The sequence below is a fragment of the Homo sapiens genome, chromosome 18, assembly GCF_000001405.40.
Source record: "Homo sapiens chromosome 18, GRCh38.p14 Primary Assembly".
Classification (NCBI taxonomy): Eukaryota; Metazoa; Chordata; class Mammalia; order Primates; family Hominidae; genus Homo; species Homo sapiens.
The window spans coordinates 3,461,814-3,485,189 of NC_000018.10; the positions used below are offsets into that span (position 1 = coordinate 3,461,814).

The 23,376-nt window shown below is 44.5% G+C and overlaps 2 long non-coding RNA genes across 3 annotated transcripts, besides 2 other annotated features; one reads left to right on the plus strand and one right to left on the minus strand.

Annotated features, from left to right (window-relative positions):
- Window positions 1-30: 30 nt before the first annotated feature.
- Window positions 31-19,911, minus strand: LOC105371965 (uncharacterized). The gene is made up of 3 exons (XR_935106.3): window positions 19,824-19,911; window positions 18,590-18,681; window positions 31-641 (listed from the first exon to the last, which is right to left on the minus strand). It is a non-coding gene; the product is annotated as an uncharacterized LOC105371965 (long non-coding RNA).
- On the plus strand, window positions 4,437-17,165 carry GAPLINC (gastric adenocarcinoma associated, positive CD44 regulator, long intergenic non-coding RNA). 2 transcript variants are annotated; one of them, NR_110429.1, is made up of 3 exons: window positions 4,437-4,544; window positions 5,314-5,483; window positions 16,943-17,165. It is a non-coding gene; the product is annotated as a gastric adenocarcinoma associated, positive CD44 regulator, long intergenic non-coding RNA (long non-coding RNA). The 2 variants fall into 2 exon arrangements; NR_110428.1 differs by having other exon boundaries at window positions 5,314-5,457.
- Window positions 4,940-5,627: an enhancer, noted in NCBI's record as "OCT4-NANOG hESC enhancer chr18:3466751-3467438 (GRCh37/hg19 assembly coordinates)". NCBI's record gives its function as "activates a minimal SCP1, AML or CMV promoter by ChIP-STARR-seq in naive H9 embryonic stem cells {active_cell/tissue: H9 hESC(naive)}" and the evidence as "EXISTENCE:reporter gene assay evidence [ECO:0000049][PMID:30033119]".
- Window positions 7,325-8,115: an enhancer, noted in NCBI's record as "H3K4me1 hESC enhancer chr18:3469136-3469926 (GRCh37/hg19 assembly coordinates)". NCBI's record gives its function as "activates a minimal SCP1, AML or CMV promoter by ChIP-STARR-seq in naive H9 embryonic stem cells {active_cell/tissue: H9 hESC(naive)}" and the evidence as "EXISTENCE:reporter gene assay evidence [ECO:0000049][PMID:30033119]".
- Window positions 19,912-23,376: the final 3,465 nt, after the last annotated feature.

Here is a 23,376-nt window from a genome sequence, read left to right on the forward strand (position 1 = left end):
TTGATTATATTTCACTTCTGTATGGGGTCATTTTTTTTTTTTGCTTGTCTAGTGATTTTTTATTACATGCTGGACAGTATGGATGGTACATTAATAAAGACTACGGATTTGGCTACATTCCTCAGAATAGTTAACTTTTGTCCTCAAGCAGCTCATTCGCCTGAACTGAAACTTCAAACCATCCTGTAATGGATAGCAGCCGAAGTCTCTGATTAGTTTTCAGCTTCCGGCTGCTGCCTTTCAATGGGCCCACTGGCGTCTCCCCTGCTGCACAAACCAACTAGGGATTTGAACAAAATTTCTGTTCAGAGGTTGAGATTTGCTCCTTCTTCAGTTCCCCTCTTTCCAGAATTCTTCTCCTAACTTTCTTAACTTTTGCTCTGCTCTGCCCACCCCATTTCTGTCCTTGACATCTCAAGCCACTGAAGATGCAGCTTTCTGCCACCCCTAACCTTCTGAAGAATGAGGACTGCCTTCAGGCAAAAGGTGCAAACTTGTACATCTTGAAGTTCTCTTCTTTTAGGGGAAGACGACCCTCCAGTTTATGCTTTTGGTTACTCTTCAGGCCTTCAACTAGCTTTTTGTTTGTTTAACTTTTTGTTCATTCACACTTCATGATTGTTAACCTGGAGGGAATTAGTCTGAAAAAGGAAAAAAAAAATCCACTATTACTAGAAACTAGAATTTTACTATAGTTACTTTGAAACTCCAAATCAGTGGTTCTCAAACTTAACTGAACACTGGAATCACCTAGAAAGCTAAAAAAAAACAAACAAAAAACAAAACAAAACAAACAAAAAAAACTGTGGCCTCGAGTTGGGAATTTTTAGAAGATCTCTTAGTGATTCCAATGCATAGACAAGATTGAGAACCATTGCCTTAAATAATTCTTTAAATCAGCCATTGTTTCTGTCCTTATCCAGAACATGGGGAGTTGACCGTTCTTTTTCCAGACCTAAAAACAAAACAAAACAAAAATTGTTTCTGTAGTCTTTTTTGTTTGGACAGAAGGACTGAAAATTAGAGTCTTACAGAAATGTAATTTGTCTTACAGAAATATAATTTGCTGTAGAATTATTTTGTCACCCAGGTCAGCTTGTTCAATTAGAGTTTAGCATAAATTTGATATTTGGTACTATATACACATAGCTCATACCATATGTAAAGCTAAGCCTCTGAGTGATAGACCCCAAAACTTACTGCAGGAATACAAAATATTCATTTGTATTCAATCAAAAAGTAAAATTTATCTCTGGAAACTGGCCAGAGAGCAAAAAGCAATGTTTAGAGATCAGTTTTAGGTCTCATTCAGCTCATTAACAGGAGAATGTGTCAAGTCTTAACCTCCAAAAATCGTGACCTCTAATTAAAAACAGGCTATGTTCTGGGCTGAGTTTTATGATTCAGAGGCTGAAAAGAGAGACATTCAACAAATGCTTTGTGGCTGAAAGAAGAGCAGTAACTTAGGGTTGATGGTTACAATAGCACAGCTGGCAAAGAAAGGAAGCATGAGAAATCAATGAATAAAAATAATAAGTAGTACAGAGATTTAACTAAATATCAAGGAAACGGGGTTTTTGAATGAAATGTGTTATAGACATCAATAGAATGTGCAACCTTTGAAGCACACTGTGGGTGACTTAGAAAGGAAACCAAATCCAATGATGGAAATTTACTCAGGTTTAGAAGGAACATATTTATAGACAAATATTTAACATAGAGGTAAGGAAAATAAAACCATGGAGGGATTTCAGAAGATAAATTGTTACTCTAGGAAGTGTCAGCTTGTTTTGTTTTTTAAAAATATTCCAAACTATTTTCCTTTTTTTTTTTCCTGAGACAGGGTCTCATTCTGTCACCCAGGCTGGAGTGCAGTGGCTCAATCTCGGCTCACTGCAACCTCCACCTCCCAGGTTCAAGTGACTTTCCTGCCTCAGCCTCCCAAGTAGCTGGAATTACAGGCGTGTGCCACCACGTCCCACTCTTTTTTTGTATTTTTAGTAGACACAGGGTTTCACCATGTTGGCTAGTCTGGTCTTGAACTCCTCCTGACCTCAAATGATCCACCCGCCTTGGCCTCCCAAAGTGTTGGGATTACAGGCGTGAGCCACCGTGCCCAGCCTCCAAATTATTTTCTTTATAAAGAAAATTACTGAAACTTGAACATATTCTTATTTGATCAGATCATTCTAACTTATGATCTTAGGACAAATTCAATTCTCCTATCTTGTCTCAAATTTTTGCTAATATATATTTTAATACTCTAAAGGCATAAATTATCTCCATATAAATTGTAATGTGAGGATAAGGCTTTCAGAGACTGTAAATAGGTTGAAATGCAACAAAAGGTACACATTTAAATTTTTACATATGCCTCTTTTAAAAAATTATCCTGTTTAACAAGTCAAAACAACTTTTTGACTGTTACCTAGTCTGATTATTAATGTTTTATTGCTTTTAATTTCTTTCCAATGATTTTCAGGGATTTTTTGGTGGTGGTGGTTATTGTTTTGAGAATGGATCTTGCTGTGCCACCCAGGCTGGAATGCAGTGATGTGGTCATAGCTCATTGCAGTCTTGAACTCCTGGGCTCAAATGATCCTCCTGCCTCAGCCTCCTGAGTACCTAGGACTACAGGTGAGCTCCACCAGGCCTAGCTTTTAAAATTTTATAGAGATGAAGTCTCGCTGTGTTGCTCAGGCTGGTCCCAAACTCCTGAGCTCAAGCAATCCTTCTGCCTCGGCTTCCCAAAGTGCTGGGATTACAAGTGTGAGCCACTGTGCCTAGCCTGATTTTCATTTTGAAATTTGATTTACTTGAATGATTCTGTGAAAAGCCCAAGTGTATTACATTAGTCAACATCTTTTCCCAGCTGAGCGTGGGGGCTTACCAGTCTGGGCAGCATAGCGAGATCTTGTCTCTACAAAAAAATTAAAAATTAGCCAGGCATGGTGGTGTGCACCTTTAGTCCCAACTACTTGGGAGGCTGAGGCAGGAGGATTGCTAGAGCCCAGGAGTTTGAGGCTGCAGTGAGCCGTGGTTGCGCCACTGCACTCCAGCATGGGCAACAGAGCAAGGCACTGTCTCAAAAAAAAAACCAAAACATTGGCCGGGTGCTGTGGCTCACGCCTGTAATCCCAGCACTTGGGGAGGCCGAGGCCAGCGGATCACGAGGTCAGGAGATCGAGACCATCCTGGTTAACACGGTGAAACCCCATCTCTACTAAAAATACAAAAAATTAGCCGGGCGTGGTAGCGGGCACCTGTAGTCCCAGCTACTCGGGAGGCTGAGGCAGGAGAATGGCGTGAACCTGGGAGGCAGAGCTTGCAGTGAGCCGAGATCGCGCCACTGCACTCCAGCCTGGGCGACAGAGCGAGACTCTGTCTCAAAACAAAACAAAACAAAACAAAACGAACAAAACATTTTTTCCCCTAGCCTGCTTGTACAATAAATCTACACAATCTAGAACATCATTTATTTTAAATTCTCTAATTAACAGCTTGATTCAGTCATTTCACAATGTATACACATATCAAAACACCATGTTGTATACCATAAATATATACTTTTGTTAATTGAAAAAATAAAAGTAAGAAACTTAAACAAAAAAATAGCCCAGCCAGGCGTGATGGCTCACATCTGTAATCCCAGGGCTTTGAGAGGCCAAGGTGGGCAGATCACTTGAGGCTAGGAGTTCGAGACCAGCCTGGCCAACATGGTGAAACCCCATCTCTACTAAAAATACAAAGATTAGCAGAGCATGGTGGTGCATGCCTGTAATCCCAGCTACTTGGGAGGCTGAAGCAGGAGGATCGCCTGGACTTGGGAGGCGGAGGTTGCAGTGAGAGGAGATCACGCCACTGCATTCCAGCCTGGGCAAGAATGAGACTCCATCTCAAAAACAAATAGATAAATAACAATAGCTCTTTCCATTATAGTGTTATTTTCTGGTATCATCTGTAAACCCAGTATTGAAGTGAAAGTGTTGGATTAATTTGAGAAGGAAAAGATGTACTTATCAAACACCTTATATTAAATTATTATCTATTATATTATTATTGTATTTGTTGAATACCACATATACATATTTAGTCCTCACAACCCTAATGGGACGTGTTATTCCCATTGTGTAGCTGAGGAAACTGACACTCTTCAAAGTTCAGCTTGTCTGTGGTTACCAGCTGTAATGGGGCCCCCAGTCATGGGGTGATTCTGTTTGCTCACACTCTTTCCACACCCTATCCCCGAAATGAAACAACTTGGAACTGTCTCCATTTTTATTATACTGTTCAATAAAAATTTGGGGGTTGCTTTGGCAGATAATCATATGCAAGCTCTATTTTCCAAATATCTCAACTTATTTTTCTGCTCTCTCGAATTCCTCCCTCCCCTCCCCCATTCCATTTCCTTGTGACCACATCTGCTTCTTGGAGAGACTTGCAGGATCTGACACATCCTCTTGGTTTCCTAAGTCTTATGACTAGCCAATGCCTGAAATAATGAACTCCTCCAAGGCAAGAAATCTGTTTTGAAGCTTCTCTGCGTAAGTATTAACACTTAATCTATTATTCGATGCATTTCATTTCCCTTTGTAGGTATCGGTTTTCTGAGCCTGCAGCCTTAGGCTAGTACCTTTTTTTTTTTTTTTAAGTTAGTTTCTGTTTTTTATTTGAGCTCTGTTAGAATCTTTAGATCTATCCAGTGGCTATAGTTTACTCTGTGCTGCGCCTTTCTGCTTTCTCTCTGCAAAAATTATGGCTTTTTAGCTATATTTCCCCAAACAGAGGTGAGGTACTGCTCTTATACAAATACTTGAAGTTATAAATCCCACCTGCATTAAAAGGAAAGTGAAGATTTATGACAATGCCTTCCCATTCTTCTCTTTCAACCCCAAAACCTCCACCATTTTTGAAACAAGGCAAGTTCTTTAGGGCTGGAGGTCTTCAATGGTATACACCATGAGGTAAAGATCAGCTTTAAAATAAATACGTACCTCCAAGGGAAGAAAATTGAACAGGCCATTCATTACTTTTCCTTCAGAAAGCTAAGGTACAACAGGAATAAACTTAACTTGTGAAGGTTTTATGAAAGGATTGCCACCTCCTGCCTTGATGAAAAGATTAACCTGATTTGGTGAAATATGCTGCTATTTGCAGGCAGGTGCTGGCCTGATTCACCAACTCTGTGTTAATTTGAGCCTGCAGAGGTACCTTTGATCAGCTCTCAGAGCCTCAGCAGTGGCTCAGGAAACATCAAAACGCTGTAGAGCAGGCTCTAATCTCAGCCTTCCTGTTTCTATGCTTGCTCACTAGGTTCACACACAGCAGCCTGGTTTCCTGGAAGGGCATTTTCCACATTGTGCGTTATGGATGATCATCCCAGGCATCAGGTGTGAAGCCCTGCATCCACATCCAGGGGCTATCAAATCTCTCTGCAAAAGGAGAAGCTGGACTCAGGCACGTTTACAGTGATGTGTATGCAGGTATATGTAAATTAATGCCTGCGTCTAATGCTGGAAGTAACAACAATTCAGTTCCGGGGAACTCTGTTGTCGTAATGCAGCTGCTAAGTGCAACATATTCTGTCCATGAAGTTGACACCTGGATAACAGGTTTGGGTGATAGTAACTGAGGCTTTGGCAGTGGATTGAGAACTCTGAGCTAGAAACATAATGGCAGTACCCTTTACTAAGCCAGGGTGGTAGGTCAGATAGCATGGGTATTTTTTCGAAAAGTTGAGCTCTTACCCTTTTTTTTTTTTGAGACAAGGTTTCACTTGTCCAGGCTGGACAATCATAGTTCACAGCAGCCTCACCATCCCAGGCTCAAGTGATCCTCCCACCTCAGCCTCCTGAGTAGCTGGGACTACAGGTGCACACCACCACACTTGGCTAATTTAAAAAAAAAAAAATGTACAGGCTGGGCGCAGTGGCTCACGCTTGTTATCCCAGCACTTTGGGAGGCCAAGGCATGGGGATCACCTGAGGTCGGGAGTTCAAGACCAGCCTGACCAACATAGAGAAACCCCATCTCTACTAAAAATACAAAATCAGCCAGGTGTGGTGGTGCGTGCCTGTGATCTCAGCTACTCGGGAGACTGAGGCAGGAGAATTGCTTGAACCCGGAAGGCAGAGGTTGCAGTGAGCCGATATCGCATCATGCACTCCAGCCTGGGCAACAAAAGCGAAACTCCGTCTCAAAAAAAAAATTTTTGTACAGACAGGGTCTCTCTATGTTGCCGGGGCTAGTCTCAAACTCCTGGGCTCAAGTGATCCTCCCGCCTCAGCCTCCCAAAGTGCTGGGATTATAGGCATGAGCCATTGCCCTTGGCCTCTCATCCTTTTTACTCTCAATGACAGGTTCATACTTGCCCTTGGGCTTTATTTCCCTTTCCAGGCACATTTCCCTTAACTCTGCTCCAGAGTCTTACACTCCCATGTTTGGAATTTTAAAAAATTGATGCATTTTTTACATTGCATTGGGAGATATTTTAGAACCACTGGGGAGCTGGGCGCGGTGACTGACATCTGTAATTCCAGCACTCTAGGAGGCTGATGCTGGTGGATTACTTGAGGTCAGGAGTTCAAGACCAGCCTGGCCAACATAGCGAAACCCTGTCTCTACTAAAAATACAAAAATTAGCCAGGCATGGTATCGCATGCCTGTAGTTCCAGCTACGCATCAGTAGGAGGCTGAGGAATGAGAATCACTTGTACCTGGGAGGCGGAGGTTGCAGCGAGCTGAATTTGTGCCATGGCACTCCAGCCTGCACAACAGTGAGACTTTGTCTCAAAAAAAAAACACTAAGGAAACAGGGGAAAGAGAATTGAACTTCTGTAGCTGCTCAAGTCATTTGGCATCTCTAAATCTGGGCTTCTTCATCTCTCGTTATATAAAAAAACAGATACCTAAATTTCAAGGTTGTTGAGGATTAAATGAGGTAACAATGTAGAACCTCTTTAGAGTTTTAGAGCAAAGCTGATTGACCTACAAATCCATGTTATTGTTGGATCTTAGATGAGCAAATCTACCTGGCTCAGGTTCTGACTCCGGTTTCCACTTGCCGCCTGGGAGGTGACTGTCCCCAAGTCCGCCTCTGAGGTGGTCCTGCTGGGTCCTGGCCTCGCCTATTTCCCACACCTCTCGTCTGCCTTTCTCCAGTTTCTTACAACAGCAGCAGTAAAGTTCCCTTCCCCCGATCCTTAATGCTGTCTTTACTTCTCTCCTATGATGTTATACAAGGAAGTAGTGTGAGGGCTTCAGGCGGGGGCTGTAGGCTGGAGATAGTGGTGGCTGTTGTAGTGCTGATGAGGTCATCATCATCCCTGAAACCAAGCTGCGTGATTTTTTTTTTTACCACTGGCATCATTCCTATAATGCAGAAAACAACACCAGGTCTTTTTTTTTTTTTTTTTTTTTTGAGACCGAGTCTCTCCCTGTCACCCAGGCTGGAGTGCAATGGCGCAATCTCGGCTCACTGCAACCTCCACCTCCTGGGTTCAAGTGATTCTCCTGCCTCAGCCTCCCGAGTAGCTGGGATTACAGGCGTGTGCCACCACGCCCAGCTAATGTTTTGTATCTTTAGTAGAGACGGGGTTTCACCATGTTGGCCAGGCTGGTCTCAAACTCCTGACCTTGTGATCCACCCGCCTCGGCCTCCCAAAGTGCTGGGATTACAGGCGTGAGCCACCGCACCTGGCCCAACACCGGTTCTTTATTACTAAAGGGCTAACCACTCAGAGCCTCCAATTTGCTTTCTCCTTCTCCCTCTGGGCTCACGTAAGTAGAACACTCTGAAGAAGCCTCAATCTGCTTTTTGTGATTTCGATATGCAGTAACCCAAGCTGCCCCCGATACAGAAGGAAGAGAACTGAGCTTAGCTCCAGAAGACCTAACTATGACACTAGGCCAGCATAATACTAGCTGGGTGGCTAGGAGTAAACTAACTTCTTTGAGCTAGTTTTCTTGTCAGTAAAGCATAGAGTTGGATTAGATGATATCTTTAGCCTCTGAAATCTCTAACTTTCTAAGGACATAAATAATACATATAGATCTAGTAACAGTGTAGGCTATTTGAAATCAGTGAAAGTTCCATAAGATACCTCTCATCCTAAGCCTAGGTGAAAGGTTTGCCATAGAAGAAAATGCAAATAAAAAGTTCAGTAGAGGGCATCTCAGAATGATGAAATGATTGGTTTCTTTGGGCAAAACCATCAATAGGGTGATTTGAAACTTTCGGGATGACATTTCTGTCCAGAGAAAAGGACAGTCAGCCAGGCACGGTGGCTTGGCTCATGCCTGCAATCCCAGTACTTTGGGAGGCCAAGACCGATGGATCACTTGATGCTAGGAGTTTGAGACCAGCCTTGCCAACATGATGAAACCCCATCTCTACTAAACATACAAAAATTAGCCAAGCATGGTGGCCTATGCCTGGTGGCCTATGCTTGTAATACCAGCTATTCGGGAGGCCGAGGCAGAAGAATCGCTTGAACCTGGGAGGTAGAGGTTACAGTAAGCTGAGATCGCACCACTGCACTCCAGCCTGGGAGACAGAGTGAGACTCCATCCCAAAAAAAGAAAAAGAAAATAACAGTCTGGTCTAAGGGTTTGTTTTAGTCGAAGTAATAGGAATTGATGTGAAGAGGAAGCATCCCCTGATGCCAGGGCAGATGGTGGAGAGCAGAACACCAGGGTGGTACAGGGCAGAAGAGGGAGGGTGAACAGAAAGGGGTGGAGGAGACAGAGGCAGGAAGAGAGGGGGCATCATGGCCTGGTGGGTGGAGCCAGGCCAGCCCTGCTAAGACCAAGGGTGATGTTCTTCATCGGAAGAAGAAGGTGAGAAGACCTCAGGGAGCCTCAAGGACCTCCAAGGATGGAAAACCTGGCATTGATTAGGAAAATGACTGTGATTGTATCAATGTACACTTAGTTGAGAAGTCAAGGAGCATTTGGAAACTGAGAGAAAAGAGCCTTGTTACTTCAAGGAATAAAAATGTGTAACGTGCAGTCAGGACATAGTGCTTTTAAAACTGAGCTGTCCTTTCAGAGCAGCTGGGCAAGTGTTGGCTTTAATATTAAGCACATTTGGCCAGGCACAGTGGCTCACATCTGTAATCCCAGCACTTTGGGAAGCAGAGGTGGGCAGATCACTTGAGGCCAGGAGTTCGAGACCAGCCTGACCAACATGGTGAAAGCCCGTCTCTACTAAAAATACAAAAATTAGCTGTATGTCGTGATGCGTGCCTGTAATCCCAGCTACTTGGGAGGCTGAGGCAGGATAATCGCTTGAACCCGGGAGGCGGAGGTTGCAATGAGCTGAGATTGTGCCACTGCATTCCAGCCTAGGCAACAGAGCAAGATTCTGTCTCAAAAAATAAAAATAAAAAAATAAAAATTAAGCACATAGGGTAAGTCTTATTTGAGAGAGAGCTGCAGCTATGCAAGGCAGAATACTTTGAGTTCAGGACTGCCTTAGGCAAACGTGGAGAGGGACCAGGTGTGCAGTGAAGCGGGCAGGTATGAGTAGAGGACTCCGAAGCCTTTGAAATAGACCCAAGATCCCCAGCTCTGGTTGTGCACCTGAATCTTCTGGCAGTGGTTTTCCAATGCAGGTGTCTAAGCTCAGCCCTGGGCCAGCTCTGGAATTCACAGGGCCCAGGGCAAAGTACATATATATAGCCCCTCCCAAAAACACAAAAAACAGTATCATTAAAGGTACTCAAATGTCTTTTTCCTCTCTGCCAACTTGTCTTGGTGTTTTCTGTTTGCTATTTAAAATTGTTTTAAGTAGAGATAAACTACAATTTAAAATTATTCACATGAATTTTTACCACTTGGCTTTACATTGTGCAGTAGCAGTTTTCAATGGGAAAGATAAGCGCATTTAACTTAGAATCACCTAAGTTACACACTTTCTATTTCATTGCTTATGCATAGATATATGTTTTATTTTTACTAGAACAGGGGAAACACTACATACAAGTAACTAAGATTTTTTTCCTTTACTTTTTTTTTTTTTGAGATGGAGTCTTGCTCTGTCATCCAGGCTGGAGTGTAGTGGTGGGATATGGGCTCACTGCAACCTCCGTCTCCCAGGTTCAAGTGATTCTCCTGCCTCAACCTCCTGAGTAGCTGGGATTACTGATGTGTGCCACCAAGCCTGGCTAATTTTGTACGTTTAGTACAGATGGGGTTTCGCCATCTGGCCAGGCTGGTCTTGAACTCCTGAACTCAAGGTATCTGCCCACCTCGGCCTCCCAAACTGCTAGGATTACAAGCGTGAGCAACTGTGCAGGGCCTCTTCACTTCTTCTCTTATGAGATGGGGTCTTGCTCTGTTGCCTAGTGCAGTGGTGCCATCATAGCTCACTGCAGCCTTGAACTCTTGGACTCAAGTGATCCTTCTGCCTCAGCCTCTTGAGTAGCTAGGACCACAGGCATGCTCCATCAAGCCCCACTAATTTTTTGTAATTTTTGTAGAGATGGGGTCTCGCTATGTTGCCCAGGCTGGTCTCAAATTCCTGGGCTCAGGTGATCCTCCCAACTCGGCTTCCCAGGGTGCTGGGATTACAGGTGTGAGCCACTGCACTGGCTTTTTTTTCACTTCTTAATATGCTCGTATCCTACCATCACTCTACCTTTGGCTTAGTAAGGAAGGACTGAAAGGAAAAGGAACTGAGGGGTACCTTCTCTTTCCCTGTCTTTGTATGTCATTGTTTTCAGCATCAGTGTTTGGCTAATACAAGTGCACCTTGTACTAGCCTTGTATTGTGCTTTGTGTTACTGCACTTTCCAGATACCACATATTTTACAAATGAAGGTTGGTGGCAACCCTGTGTCAAGCAAGTCTGTCGGCACCGTTTTTCCAGTAGCATATGCTCACTTCTGGTCTCTGTCACATTTTTGGTAACTGTCACAGTATTTCAAACTTTTTCATGACTTTTATACCTGTTAGGGTAATCTGTGACCAGTAATTTTATTTATTTATTATTATTATTTTTTTAACGGAGTCTCACTCTGTCGCCCAGGCTGGAATGCAGGGATGCGATCTCGGCTCAATGCAACCTCTGCCGCCCAGGATTCAAGCGATTCTCCTGCCTCAGCTTCTTGAGTATCTGGGATTACAGGCACCTGCCACCACGCCTGACTAATTTTTGTAGTTTTAGTAGAGCCAGGGTTTCACCATCTTGGCCAGGCTGGTCTTGAACTCCTGACCTCGTGATCCACCCACCTTGTCTTCCCAAAGTGCTGCGATTACAGGCGTGAGCCACCGTGCCCGGCTGACCAGTATCTTTCATGTTACTATTGTAATTGTTTGGGGTCACCACGAACCGCACACATATAAGACAATGAACTTAATCAATAAACGTGTGTGTTCTGATTGCTCCACTGACTGGCTGTTCCCTCATCTCTGTCCCTCTCCTCGGGTCTCCCTATTCCGGGGGATAAAATGATATTGGAATTAGGCCAATTTATAACTATAATCACCCAGAAGAGTTCAAGTGAAAGGAAGTCAGAGGTCTTTCACTTTCAGTCAAAAGCAAGAAATGATTAAGCTTAGTGAGGAAGACATGCTGAAAGCTGAGACAGACCAAAAGCTGGGTCTCTTGTGCCAACTAGTTAGCCAAGTTGTGAATGCAAAGGAAATGGTTTTATTTTGTTTGTTTGTTTGTTTTTGAGACGGAGTCTCACTCTGTTGCCCAGGCTGGAGTGCAATGGCATGATCTCAGCTCACTGCAACCTCTGTCTCCCGTGGTTCAAGCAATTCTCCCTGCCTCAGCCTCCCAAGTAGCTGGAATTACAGGCCCTCGCCACCAAGCCCAGCTAATTTTTTCTATTTTTAGTAGAGATGGGATTTCGCCACATTGGCCAGGCTGGTCTCGAAATCCTGACCTCAGGCGATCCGCCTGCCTCCGCCTCCCAAAGTGCTGGGATTACAGGCGTGAGCCACTGTGCCTGGCCAAATGTTCTTGAAAGAAATTAAAAGTGCTACTCCAATGAACATACAAGTGGTAAGAAAGCAAAACAGCCCTATTGCTGATATGGAGAAAGTTTGAATGGTTTGGATAAAGATCAAACCAGCCACAGCATTCCCTTATGCCAAAGCCTAATCCAGAGCAAGGTCTTAATTCTCTTCAGTTCTGTGAAGGAAGCTGCAGAAGAAAAAGGTGAAAGAGGTGAGGAAGCTGCAGAAGAAAACCTGGAAGTTAGCAGAGCTTGATCCAGAGGTTTAAGGAAAGAAGCCATCTCCATAACATAAAAGTGCAAGGTGAAGCAGCAAGTGCTGATGGGGAAGCTGCAGCAAGTCATCCAGAAGATCTTGCTAAGGTAATTGATGAAGGTGGCTACATTCAATAACAGATTTTCAATGTAGACAAAACAGCTTTCTACTAGTAGAAGATGCCATCTAGACCTTTAATAGCTGGAGAAGAGAAGTCAATGTCTGGCTTTAAGCTTTAAGAGACAGGTTGACTCTCTTATTAGGGGCTACTGCAGCAGGTGATTTTAAGTTGAAACCAATGCTCACTTACTATTCTAAAAATCCTTGAGTCCTTAAGAATTATGTTGAATCTACTCTTCCTGTGCTCTACAGATGGAACAATACAGCCTGGATGACAGCATATCTGTTTACATCATGGTTTGCTGAATTTTTTTTTTTTTTTTGAGACGGAGTCTCACTCTGTCACCCAGGCTGGAGTGCAGTGGCACAATCTCGGCTCGCTGCAACCTCCTCCTCCTGGGTTCACGCCATTCTTTTGCCTCAGCCTCCTACAGCTGGGACTACAGGTGTCTGCCACCACGCCTGGCTAAATTTTTGCGTTTTTAGTGGAGACGGGATTTCACTGTGTTAGCCAGGATGGTCTCAATCTCCTGACCTTGTGATCCGCCCGCCTCGGCCTCCCAAAGTGCTGGGATTACAGGCGTGAGCTGAATATTTTAAGCCCACTGTTGAGATCTACTGCTCAGAAAAAAAAATTCCTTCCAAAATATTACTGCTTATTGGCAATGAAGCTAGTCGCCCAAGAGCTCTGATGGAGATGTACAAGAAGATGAATGTTGTTTTCATGCCTACAAACATAATATCCATTTGGCAGCTCATGGGTCAAGGAGTCATTTCAACTTGCAAGTCTTATTATTTGAGAAACACAATTTGTAAGGTTAGAGCTACCATAGTGATTCCTCTGATGGATCTGGGCAAAGTCAACTGAAAACCTTCTGGAAAGAATTCACCACTCTAGATGCCATTAGGAACATTTATGATTCATGGGAGGAGGTCAAGATATCAACATTAACAGGAATTTGGAAGATTCCAATTCTCATGGGTAACTTTGAGGGGCTCAAGACTTCAATGGAGGAAGTCACTGCAGATGTGCTGCAAATAGCAAGATAATTAGAATTCGAAGTGGAGCCTGAACATGTGGTGGAATTGCTGCAATCTCATGATCACATGTGAATGGATCAGGAGCTGTTTCTTAAGGATGAGCAAAGAAAGTGGTTTCTTGAGATGGAATCTACTCCTGATGAAGATGCTGTGAATGCTGTTGACAACAAAAGGCTGGGCATGGTGGCTCACTCCAGTAATCTCAGCACTTTGGGAGGCCAAGGCGGGTGGATCACCTGAGGTCAGGAGTTTGAGACCAGCCTGGCCAACATGGGGCCAAACTGGGGGCGTACTACCTATATATGTTTATTTATAAGTTCTATCCATATACTGCTGTATAGTCTCATTTTATGAAACCCCATCTCTACTAAAAATACAAAAATTAGCTGGCTGTGGTGGCAGGCGCTTGTAATCCCAGCTACTCGGAAGGCTGAGGCAGGAGAATCGCTTGAACCAGGAAGGTGGAGGTTGCAGTGAGCTGAGATCACACCACTGCACTCCAGCGTGGGTGACAAGAGTGAAACTCCGTCTCAAAAAAAAAAAACACCAAAAAACAAAGGATTTAGAATATTCTGGAAGCTTAGTTGATTGATAAAACAGTGGCAGGGTTTGAAAGAATTGACTCTGTATTAGTCAATTTCACACTGCTGATAAAGACATACGCGAGACTGGGTAATTTATAAATAAAAAGAATTTTTTTTTTTTTTTGGAGACAGAGTCTCAGTCTGTTGCTGAGGCTGGAGTGCAGCGGCACTGTGTCGGCTCACTGCAACCTCTGTCTCCTGGGTTCAAGCAATTCTCCTGCCTCAGCCACCCGAGTAGCTGGGATAACAGGCGTCCACCACCATGCCCGGCTAGTTTTTATATTTTTAGTAGAAACGGGGTTTCACCATGTTGGCCAGGCTGGTCTTGAACTCCTGACCTCAGGTGATCCGCCCGCCTTGGCCTCCCAAAATGCTGGGATTACAGGCGTGAGCCACCGCGCCCGGCCGGTTTTTGTTTGTTTGTTTGTTTGAGATGGAGTCTTGCTCTTGTTGCTCAGGCTGTGTGCAATGGCACGATCTTGGCTCACTGCAACCTCCACATCCCGGATTGAAGCAATTCTCCTGCCTCAGCCTCCCGAGTAGCTGGGATTACAGGCATGTGCCACCACACCCGGCTAACTTTTTATATTTCTATTAGAGATGGGGTTTCACCATGTTGGCCAGGCTGGTCTCTACCTCCTGACCTCAGGTGATCCACCTGCCTCTGCCTCCCAAAGTGCTGGGATTACAGGCATGAGCCACTGCACCCAGCCTAATAAAAAGAGGTTTAATGGACTCACAGTTCCACATGGCTGGGGAGGCCACAAAATCATGGCGAAAGGCACGTCTTATATGGCAGCAGACAAGAGAGCATGAGAGCCGAGCAAAAAGGGGAAAGAAACTTCTTATAAAACCATCAGATCTCGTGAGACTTATTCACTACCACGAGAACAGTATGGGGGAAACCACCCCCATGATTCACTTATCTCCCTCCGGGTCCCTCCCACAACACGTGGGAATTATGGGAGCTACAATTCAAGATGAGATTTGGCCGGGCGCAGCGGCTCGTGCCTGTAATTCCAGCACTTTTATGATCAAGTACTCTCAATTAAAAAAAATTGGGGGCGTACTACCTATATATGTTTATTTATAAGTTCTATCCATATACTACTGTATAGTCTCATTTTATGAAACATTCAATCAATAGAAAAATACCAAAGACCACTTGATTTTTTTTAAAAAAAAGAAGTGTTAAGGCCGGCGCAGTGGCTCACACCTGTAATCCCAGCACTTTGGGAGGCCGAGGCGGGCGGATTACGAGGTCAGGAGATTGAGACCATCCTGGCCAACATGGTGAAACCCCGTCTCTACTAAAAATACAAAAATTGGCCAGGCGTGCTGGCGGGTGGCTGTAGTCCCAGCTACTCGGCAGGCTGAGGCGGGAGAATTGCTTGAATCCGGGAGGCAAAGGTTGCAGTGAGCCGAGATTGTGCCACTGCACTCCAGCCTGGCAAGAGAGCGAGACTCCATCTCAAAAAAAAAAAAAAAAAAATGAGATTTGGGTGAGGACAAAGCCAAACCTTATCAGACTCCAATTTTGAAAGTAGTCCTACTGTGGGTAAAATGCCACCAAACAGCATCACATGCTACAGAAAAGTCTTTCATGAAAGGCAGAGTCAATCGATGTGGCAAACTTCATTGTCGTCTTACTTTAGGATGGGGATAGCAAAGTGCTGGTCTGAGTGCAGGGCCCTCTGAGCAAGGAGCCCTTTGTGACTCCAGCGGTTGCATGCTCATGAGTGGCCCTGGCCCCACCTCAGCATTTCTCAACACACATCTTACTTCAGACTGGTATATTCTCTATATTTTGCACTGAGGGTCTCTAGAACGAAGGCAGGGTGAGGGGAAAGTAAGAAAGAGCCAGGCCCCAATCACTTGCTAAAGGCCTGGGTGAAAGGATGGAAAGGAAAGGACTCTGGCTAGCCCCTTCTTTCCCTTTCCTCCTATGTCCTCATTTTCAGTGTAAGTTCAAGAGTTCACTACCACCAAGCTTCAGGTCAGCCCTGGAAAAACTCTGGATAGATTATTTTTGTAACTTTAAGAGTTGGACCAGCTTGAGGCATTGGGGAGGGATATACCCTTCCTTCTCACCCTACATTTTGTTTTCAGACCTTAGGAACCAAAGCTCTGTGATGGAAGCCAGGTTGAGGGCAGAGTGTTTATCTCTGAGGCCCCCAAATAAGAAACCCTGGTCTAGGGGAGCTAGAGGGCTAAAGTCTAGTATCATCTCCAATCAAACCTAGCTGGATAAATCCCAAACCCACTTATGGGGAAGGTTGGGGAAGAGCACTCAATCGATTCTTGATATCAAAGCTATACTTTATGTTCAGACTCAGAGATTAGGTGCTATCCAAACTAGTTTTTCCACAACCTTTTCTAGAAATGGAAATTTAAGATAGTTCATAAAAGTACTACCGTCAGGAGAAGATTGCCTGAGGCTATTACTGTGAAATTATTTTCATGGCATAAGAATCATCAAAATGGCTCGGTAGCACAGTACTTGGCAATTCTTTCTTATCACGGCAAGCTTAGAAAGTAGACACATTTGTACAGCGTATACAATGGCTCAAGGATGGAGATCTCACTGGGTACTCTGGCTGTTCCAGCCTTATGTGAGCTCCAAGGCCTGCTGTGATCTCAGCATATCTTAATCTAGTCACTCCACATGCCCTGGCATGCGGGGTGGGAAGCTCTGCAGGCGTAGACACTTGGTGTTCCCTCCCCAATAGCCATTCCCCCTTTCTCCTTTCCAACAGTGTATGTTTTCCATTTGGGGGACCATATGGTACAGGAAAAGGTGATACTCGCCCTGGCTTCAAAGGGTGAATGCGGACTTGGGCTAAGTCAATTGGTGCATCCATGGCCTTGGCCTTGATGACTGGTTCCAGCACGGCACTCCACCAGTCCATTAAGAATAAAACTCATGGCTTAGCCTAGACCTCTGGGACAAAACTGATCTCATTTCCTTCTGACAGGGTATGCACAGATGTGGAAACAGGAACTGATGTGTCCATTACACCACTAGGACAGAGGCCAGAACAATGAAGAAACCAAATACTTGGAAGAGGGTAGAGATAATGAATGGAGTCCAAGAGCCCTGATTGTGCCATAAATGTCCAGATAATTCCATACCTGAGGATTATGTGGTTTGTAAACTTGGCACTTAGAAGAACCAATAAAATCATGTTATAGTTTCAACCGGGTCTAGTTACCTTTCCTCTTAGTTGTGACTGTCTATATCCTAACTGACACAGGCTCTCGTGCCATGTCTAATACTAAGGCATCCATGGCAAGCGCTTTTCCAGTAGCACTAGGGAACAATCTATCCCAATTTTTCACGCACATAGAATTGTCATTAAGAACAAACACCCATTTGAAAGATGTTTGGCCTGGGTTAGACAAATGGTCTCTGACTGTGAGGTGCAATAAAGTGAACTGGGGCGTACAGAAAGCAAACCTACAACACTGTTTAGTTGTTGAGACTCATGGAGCAATTGAGTTAAAGCTACTTGTGCCACAATGACCCACAACCCCAAGAGATGTAGGGATGGTCAGTCATGAAGGATTTCAGAGCAGGTCAGGCACGGTGGCTCAGGCCGGTAATCCTAGCACTTTAGGAAGCCAAGGTGGGAGGATCACTTGAGCCCAGGAGTTCAAGACCAGCCTGGACAACATGACAAAAACCCGTCTCTACAAAAAAATACAAAAATTAGCCAGGCCTGGTGGGGCACGCCTGTAGTTCCAGCTAATTGAGAGGCCGAGGTGGAAGGATCACTTGAGCCTGAGAGGTTGAGGCTACAGTGGGCTGAGATTGCCCCACTGCACTCCAGCCTGGGTGACAGAGTGAAACTCTTTGTCCACAACAACATAAAAGGATTTCAGAGCAGCCAAGTGCAGGAGAATGACCTCCACTTTCAAAGACAAGAACAGCCTTTAATTCTTGATTATGCAAATTCCCAGTATTATGACCTTGTCTGAGCCTTAATTTCTTCACATATAAAATGTGAATAACATCTGTGTTATGGAGATTTCATAAGGATAAATGAGGTGATGGATGGTGATGTGCTTGGTAAAGCATAAATATTATACAAACATGGTGAATTATTTGTAGAGCTTTTTTTTGTTTTTTGTTTTTGAGGCAGGGTCTTGCTCTGTCATCCAGGTTGGAGTGCCATGGCATGATCACAGCTCACTGCAGCTTCCACCTGCTGGGCTTAAGTGATCCTCCTACCTCAGCCACAAGTATCTGGGACTACAGGTGTGCACCACCATGCTTGGTCTCAAACTCCTGAGCTCAAGTAACCCTCCCGCCTTGGCCTCCCAAAGTGCTGGGGTTACAGGCATGAGCCACTGCACCCAGCCTGCCTGCTGCTTTAATCTTATTGACATGTCATAAAGTTGACGATAAAGTTAGGGTTATACGTCTAGAATATGTTAGCCAATCCCTGTGGGCTTCTGAGCAGCCACCCAATACAGTAAAACCTCCCTCCCTGCCTGCCTGCATGGGTCAGAAGTTCTGTTTCCAGCGGTGCTGCTGCTGCTGGCCTGACTGAACTTGCATAAGTCACTTACAGATCTTCACCCCAATGTCTTCATATGCAAATGCAGGTAATAAATCTCACCTGTATGGAGAAAGACCGTGATGCTGTGTGCTTTCCTCCTCCTCACCTCTTTGTACATCCTCTTCCAGGTTCAGACAGAGATGCTCACAGGCCTTGAGGATCACAAGGAGTGTATGGCAAAAGGGCAGGGAAAGAGACATACATCTTGCTCATTGGTTTTGCTTTCAAAGTAGGGTTTTTTTTTTTTTTTTTTGAGAGACAAGGTCTTGCTCTTGCCCAGGCTGGAGCACAACAGGAAGGTCATAATTCCCTGCAGCCTCAAACTCTTTGGCTCAAGGGATCCTCCTGCCCCAGCCTCCTAAGTAGCTGGAACTACAGGTATGTACCACCATGTTTGGTGAATTTTTTTGTTTTTTATAGAGATGAGGTCTCACCATGTTGCCCAGGCAGGTCTCAAACTCCTGACCTCAAGCGATCCTCCTGCCTCAGCCTCCCAAAGTCCTTGGAATACAGATGTGAGCCATTGCACCTGGCCTCAAAGTATACTTTTGAAATCAAAAGAGGGAATGGAGCAGCAAGCCATAGGGTTTATGCTGTAAATATAGGATGAAAAGAGAAGTGAGGAGTTGGCAGACTCACCCCAGCAGGGAAGTGAGGTGAGGGGATGAGGGTGATGAGGCCAAGGTCACCACAAAAGATGACCAGTGCTGCAGGGGTGAGGAAGAGAAAGATGGGGCATCCTGGCCTTGGAGATAGTCGGGGCTGGTGATGAGAGGTGCTGATACAAAGGGAGACAGCAAAAGAGTCAGGCAAATGAAAGTCTTCCAAACCAAGCCCATGCTAGGTGCTGTGTGCAGTTTGGGAGCTTGGGACTTCACTACCCCAAAATATGACACCTTATATTTGAGAGAACTGAAGAAGCAAGAAGTTCACTCTCTAATCTTCTCTGCCATTGTCCCCTGAAGAAGGCCATAAAAGAATTCTCTGACCTGCCTCTGGAGTGGATCATAAGATCCTCATGTGAGAGGTGCCCTTTGTATACCCAGAGAAAAGGAGCATTCTTTTTCTTTTTTTTTGAGGTAAGTCCTCGCTGTCTCACTCTTGTCGCCCAGGCTGGAGCGCAGTGGCACAATCACTGCAGCCTTGACCTGCTGGGCTCAAGCGATCCTCCCACCTCTCAGCCTCCCAGGTAGCTGAGACTGCAGGCTAATTTTTACATTTTTTTGTAGAGACAGTGGTCTCCCTGTGTTGCCCAGGCTGATCTCGAACTCCTAGGCTCCAGGGATCCGCTCACCTGGGCCTCCCAAAGTGCTGGGATTATAGACGTGAGCCACCACGCTGGGCTGAACAGTCCTTATCAATGAACACCCAGGAACACAGAGAAGAATCTGAGTAAACTGGCCTTGCTAAGTTCCCTCTAGTTTATTACTATTACATCACACTCCCTTTGTCTCATCACACTTCTCCTCCACTGTCCCCTCTTCATCAAGTTTAACATAAAAACACGTTTCCCTGTTTCTTTGAGCCTTGGTTTCCAAAGGCTCTTGTGTTACATGAAATTTAAATAAATTGGTATGCTCTTGTTAATCTGTCTTTTGCTATAGGTGCCTCAGCCATGGACCTAGCAATGGGTAAGGAAAAGAATATTTTCTCCCCTACAGCACCCCTGGTGGCAAGCTCTGTTTTAGAGAGTATCGCCTTCTGTGCTATTTGAGTCAAGGCAGCTGTTCCTCCAGCTGCCTGCCTACTGCCCATGGTTCATTCTATAGATAAAGCCCCAGACTTTCCCCACATGGACACCCAAAACGGGGCAGGATAACTGACACTAGCGGCTCAGTGGTGGAGGAAGCAAAGCCCCAGCTCCCGAACTAGGGCGGCATGGCTCAGTGGCTATGTGCAGTGTGAGGGGTACTTAGGAAGATGTTGGGAGAATCAAATAAGATAAACATGTAGGGGTGCTTTAAAATTTCTAAAGTATTGGCAATATAACTACATGTAGGATTTTCCTGGATTATAAACCTCTCACCCAAATTCAACTTGAGGCAAATTGCTCCAGAGAGCATGTAGTAACATTTCAGATACGGAAAAGTTGGCTTTCTGGCTTCTGATATTTCTATTATCCCATGAATTCTCATTGCATCAGCTCTGGGTCGCTGTGGTTGTGTCTTCCTTTTTGTGTATTTTTGGAATTTGAGGTTTCAAATTTCCAGTTTTTCAGCCTCTGGTTCAACCACCCTTTCTTTAAAAAATTGTCTAAATGTACTGTAGCCCTCATCTTACCGGATGGGGAGAATTTAGTACTTCCCTCCAACCACCAATATTGCTGAGAATTTTAGGGGAGGGATCCAGGAGCTTACATTCTTATTGACATCTTCTACTCCGAATTTTCAGTTTTGCCAAAGTGTCACCTCATCTTCTGCAGTTAATGTCTCCTTTCCTCCCACCACCATACATATCTATACATATATATGTGTATAGATGTATGTATACACATATATATACACATGGAGAGAGAGAATTGTAATGTGTAAAGTTAGTTTCTTTCTTATCTATTTACTTATTCTTTTTTTTTTTTTTTTTTTTTTTTGAGACAGAGTCTCGCTTTGTCGCCCAGGCTGGAGTACAGTAGTGCGATCTCTGCTCACTGCAACCTCTGCCTCCCAGGTTCAAGCAATTCTCCTTTCCTCAGCCTCCCAAATAGCTGGGATTACAGGTGCCCACTACCATGCCTGGCTAATTTTTGTATTTTTAGTAGAGACGGGGTTTTGCCATGTTGGCTAGTTTGGTCTTTGACTGCCAACCTCAGGTGATCCACCTGCCTTGGTCTCCCAAAGTGCTAGGATTAAAGGCGTGAGTCACTGTGCCCGGCCAGTTTAAGAACCATTTTATGCAGACTGCTTTTGGGTGCTTTTGACATCTACTCTTCTCCTTGTACCCCACATCCTGAATGTATGGAGTCATTTGGACTCCGTGCATGTGTGAGTGTGAGTGTGTGCGTGTGTACATGGAAGGAGGGACTGGGTTTAGGTCCAAATCAACATGATACAGAATAGAAGCATCATATCTGGAAGCAGGAACCCAAAGGCTAACAAGACCCCAGGCTTTAAGTCTCTGCTGGAGAATTAATAGAAATCCTATGCAATCACTTTGGGCTTCCACAGATAGAGAACTGGTGTGGGGAGAGAAGGGAAGATGGAGTGGGTAGCTCAAAATAATTTCACCTCTTGGGCCACAGAAAGCCTATGTAATCTCTGATATTTATGCACGCCTAAGTCTACATATACATACATAAATACGATTAGCAGTCCTATGAGCTATTTTAAAGCAGGGAGGAGCAGGAGAGATGAATCTGGAGACTAGTTAGATCAGCAAATTATAATCTGTAGGAAAATCCACATAGATTTCCAGGTGAGAGAAGAGGAAGCAGCAGTGATTTGAGGGAAGGAAGAACACGATGCTTCTGAACTAAAAACCAGGACGCTTGGTCTGACAAAGGACTTTTTTTTTTTTCTGGGTTGTATGTGTACCAATATCGATACCTATAGACAAAATTGATTAACATCTAAATTGTCTTGGAAAATTCAGGATCTGCAGTTTCCTTCCTTATTGTTCAAATCTCATTCTTGTATCAAGTATCTAGAGAGAAATCTTGAGCTTGGTTGTAGAGGAAATTCATTGCTGTAAAGGTTGATTGCAGCAAGGTGTCTGTCCACGGGCCAGTGTGCCTGAGGATCTTTTCATGACACAGACTATCACTATCTTTTTCTTGTATAGGAATTGGCCTCTCAGACTTTAAGACCATAACTGAGAATTTTTTTTTTTTTAAGACAGAATCTCACTCTGTCTCCCAGGCTGGAGTGCAGTGGCGCAATCTTGGCTCACTGCAACCTCCGCCTCTTGGGTTCAAGAGATTTTCCTGCCTCAGCCTCCCAAGTAGCTGGAATTACAGGTACGTGCCACCACGCCTGGCAAATTTTTGTATTTTTAGTAGAGGAGGGGTTTCGCCATGTTGGCCAGGCTGGTCTTGAACTTCTGACCTCAAGTGATCCACCTGCTTTGGCCTCCCAAAGTACTAGGATTACAGGCATGAGCCACTGTGCCCGGCTTTTTTTTTTTTTTTTTTTTAACAGAGTCTTACTCTGTTGCCCAGGCTGGGGTGCAACAGTGCGATCTCGACTCACCACAACCTCCACCTCTGCCTCCTGGGTTCAAGTGATTCTCCTGCCTCAGCCTCCTGAATAGCTGGGATTACAGGCATGCACCACCACGCCTGGCTAATTTTCTGTATTTTTAGTAGAGACAAGGTTTCACCATGTTGATCAGGCTAGTCTTGAACTCCTGACCTCAAGAGATCCGACCACCTTGGCCTCCCAAAGTGCTGGGATTACAGGTGTGAGCAACTGCACCGGGCTCCTAACTGAGAATTAATAGTACTAGTTACTATGTTAAAAATGGACTACAAGTGACCAATTAGTCTCCATTCTGGGGTTATATAAAAGCAGGAAAGTGGTAGATAAGAAAATTGTCGCGGGGTACAGTGGCTGTTCCTGTAATCCTAGCCACCCTGGAGGCTGAGGCAGGAGGATCACTTGAGGCCAGGACTTTGAGACCAGCCTGGGCAACATAGTGAGAACTTGTCTCTAAAAAAAAAGAAAACTGTCATTTTAGGTCATTCCTTATAAGATGCTGATTCTCTGTGCTAGGTATCTATGCAGAAAAGTCTCATTTCGTAGTAATTGATTCACATATTATTGCAAAGTATATTTTGGAAAATAAGCCGATAAAAGCTAGTCACTATATCAGAATGTGCTGTACATTGTTGAGCTTTCTGCCTGCTGCATTCTAAT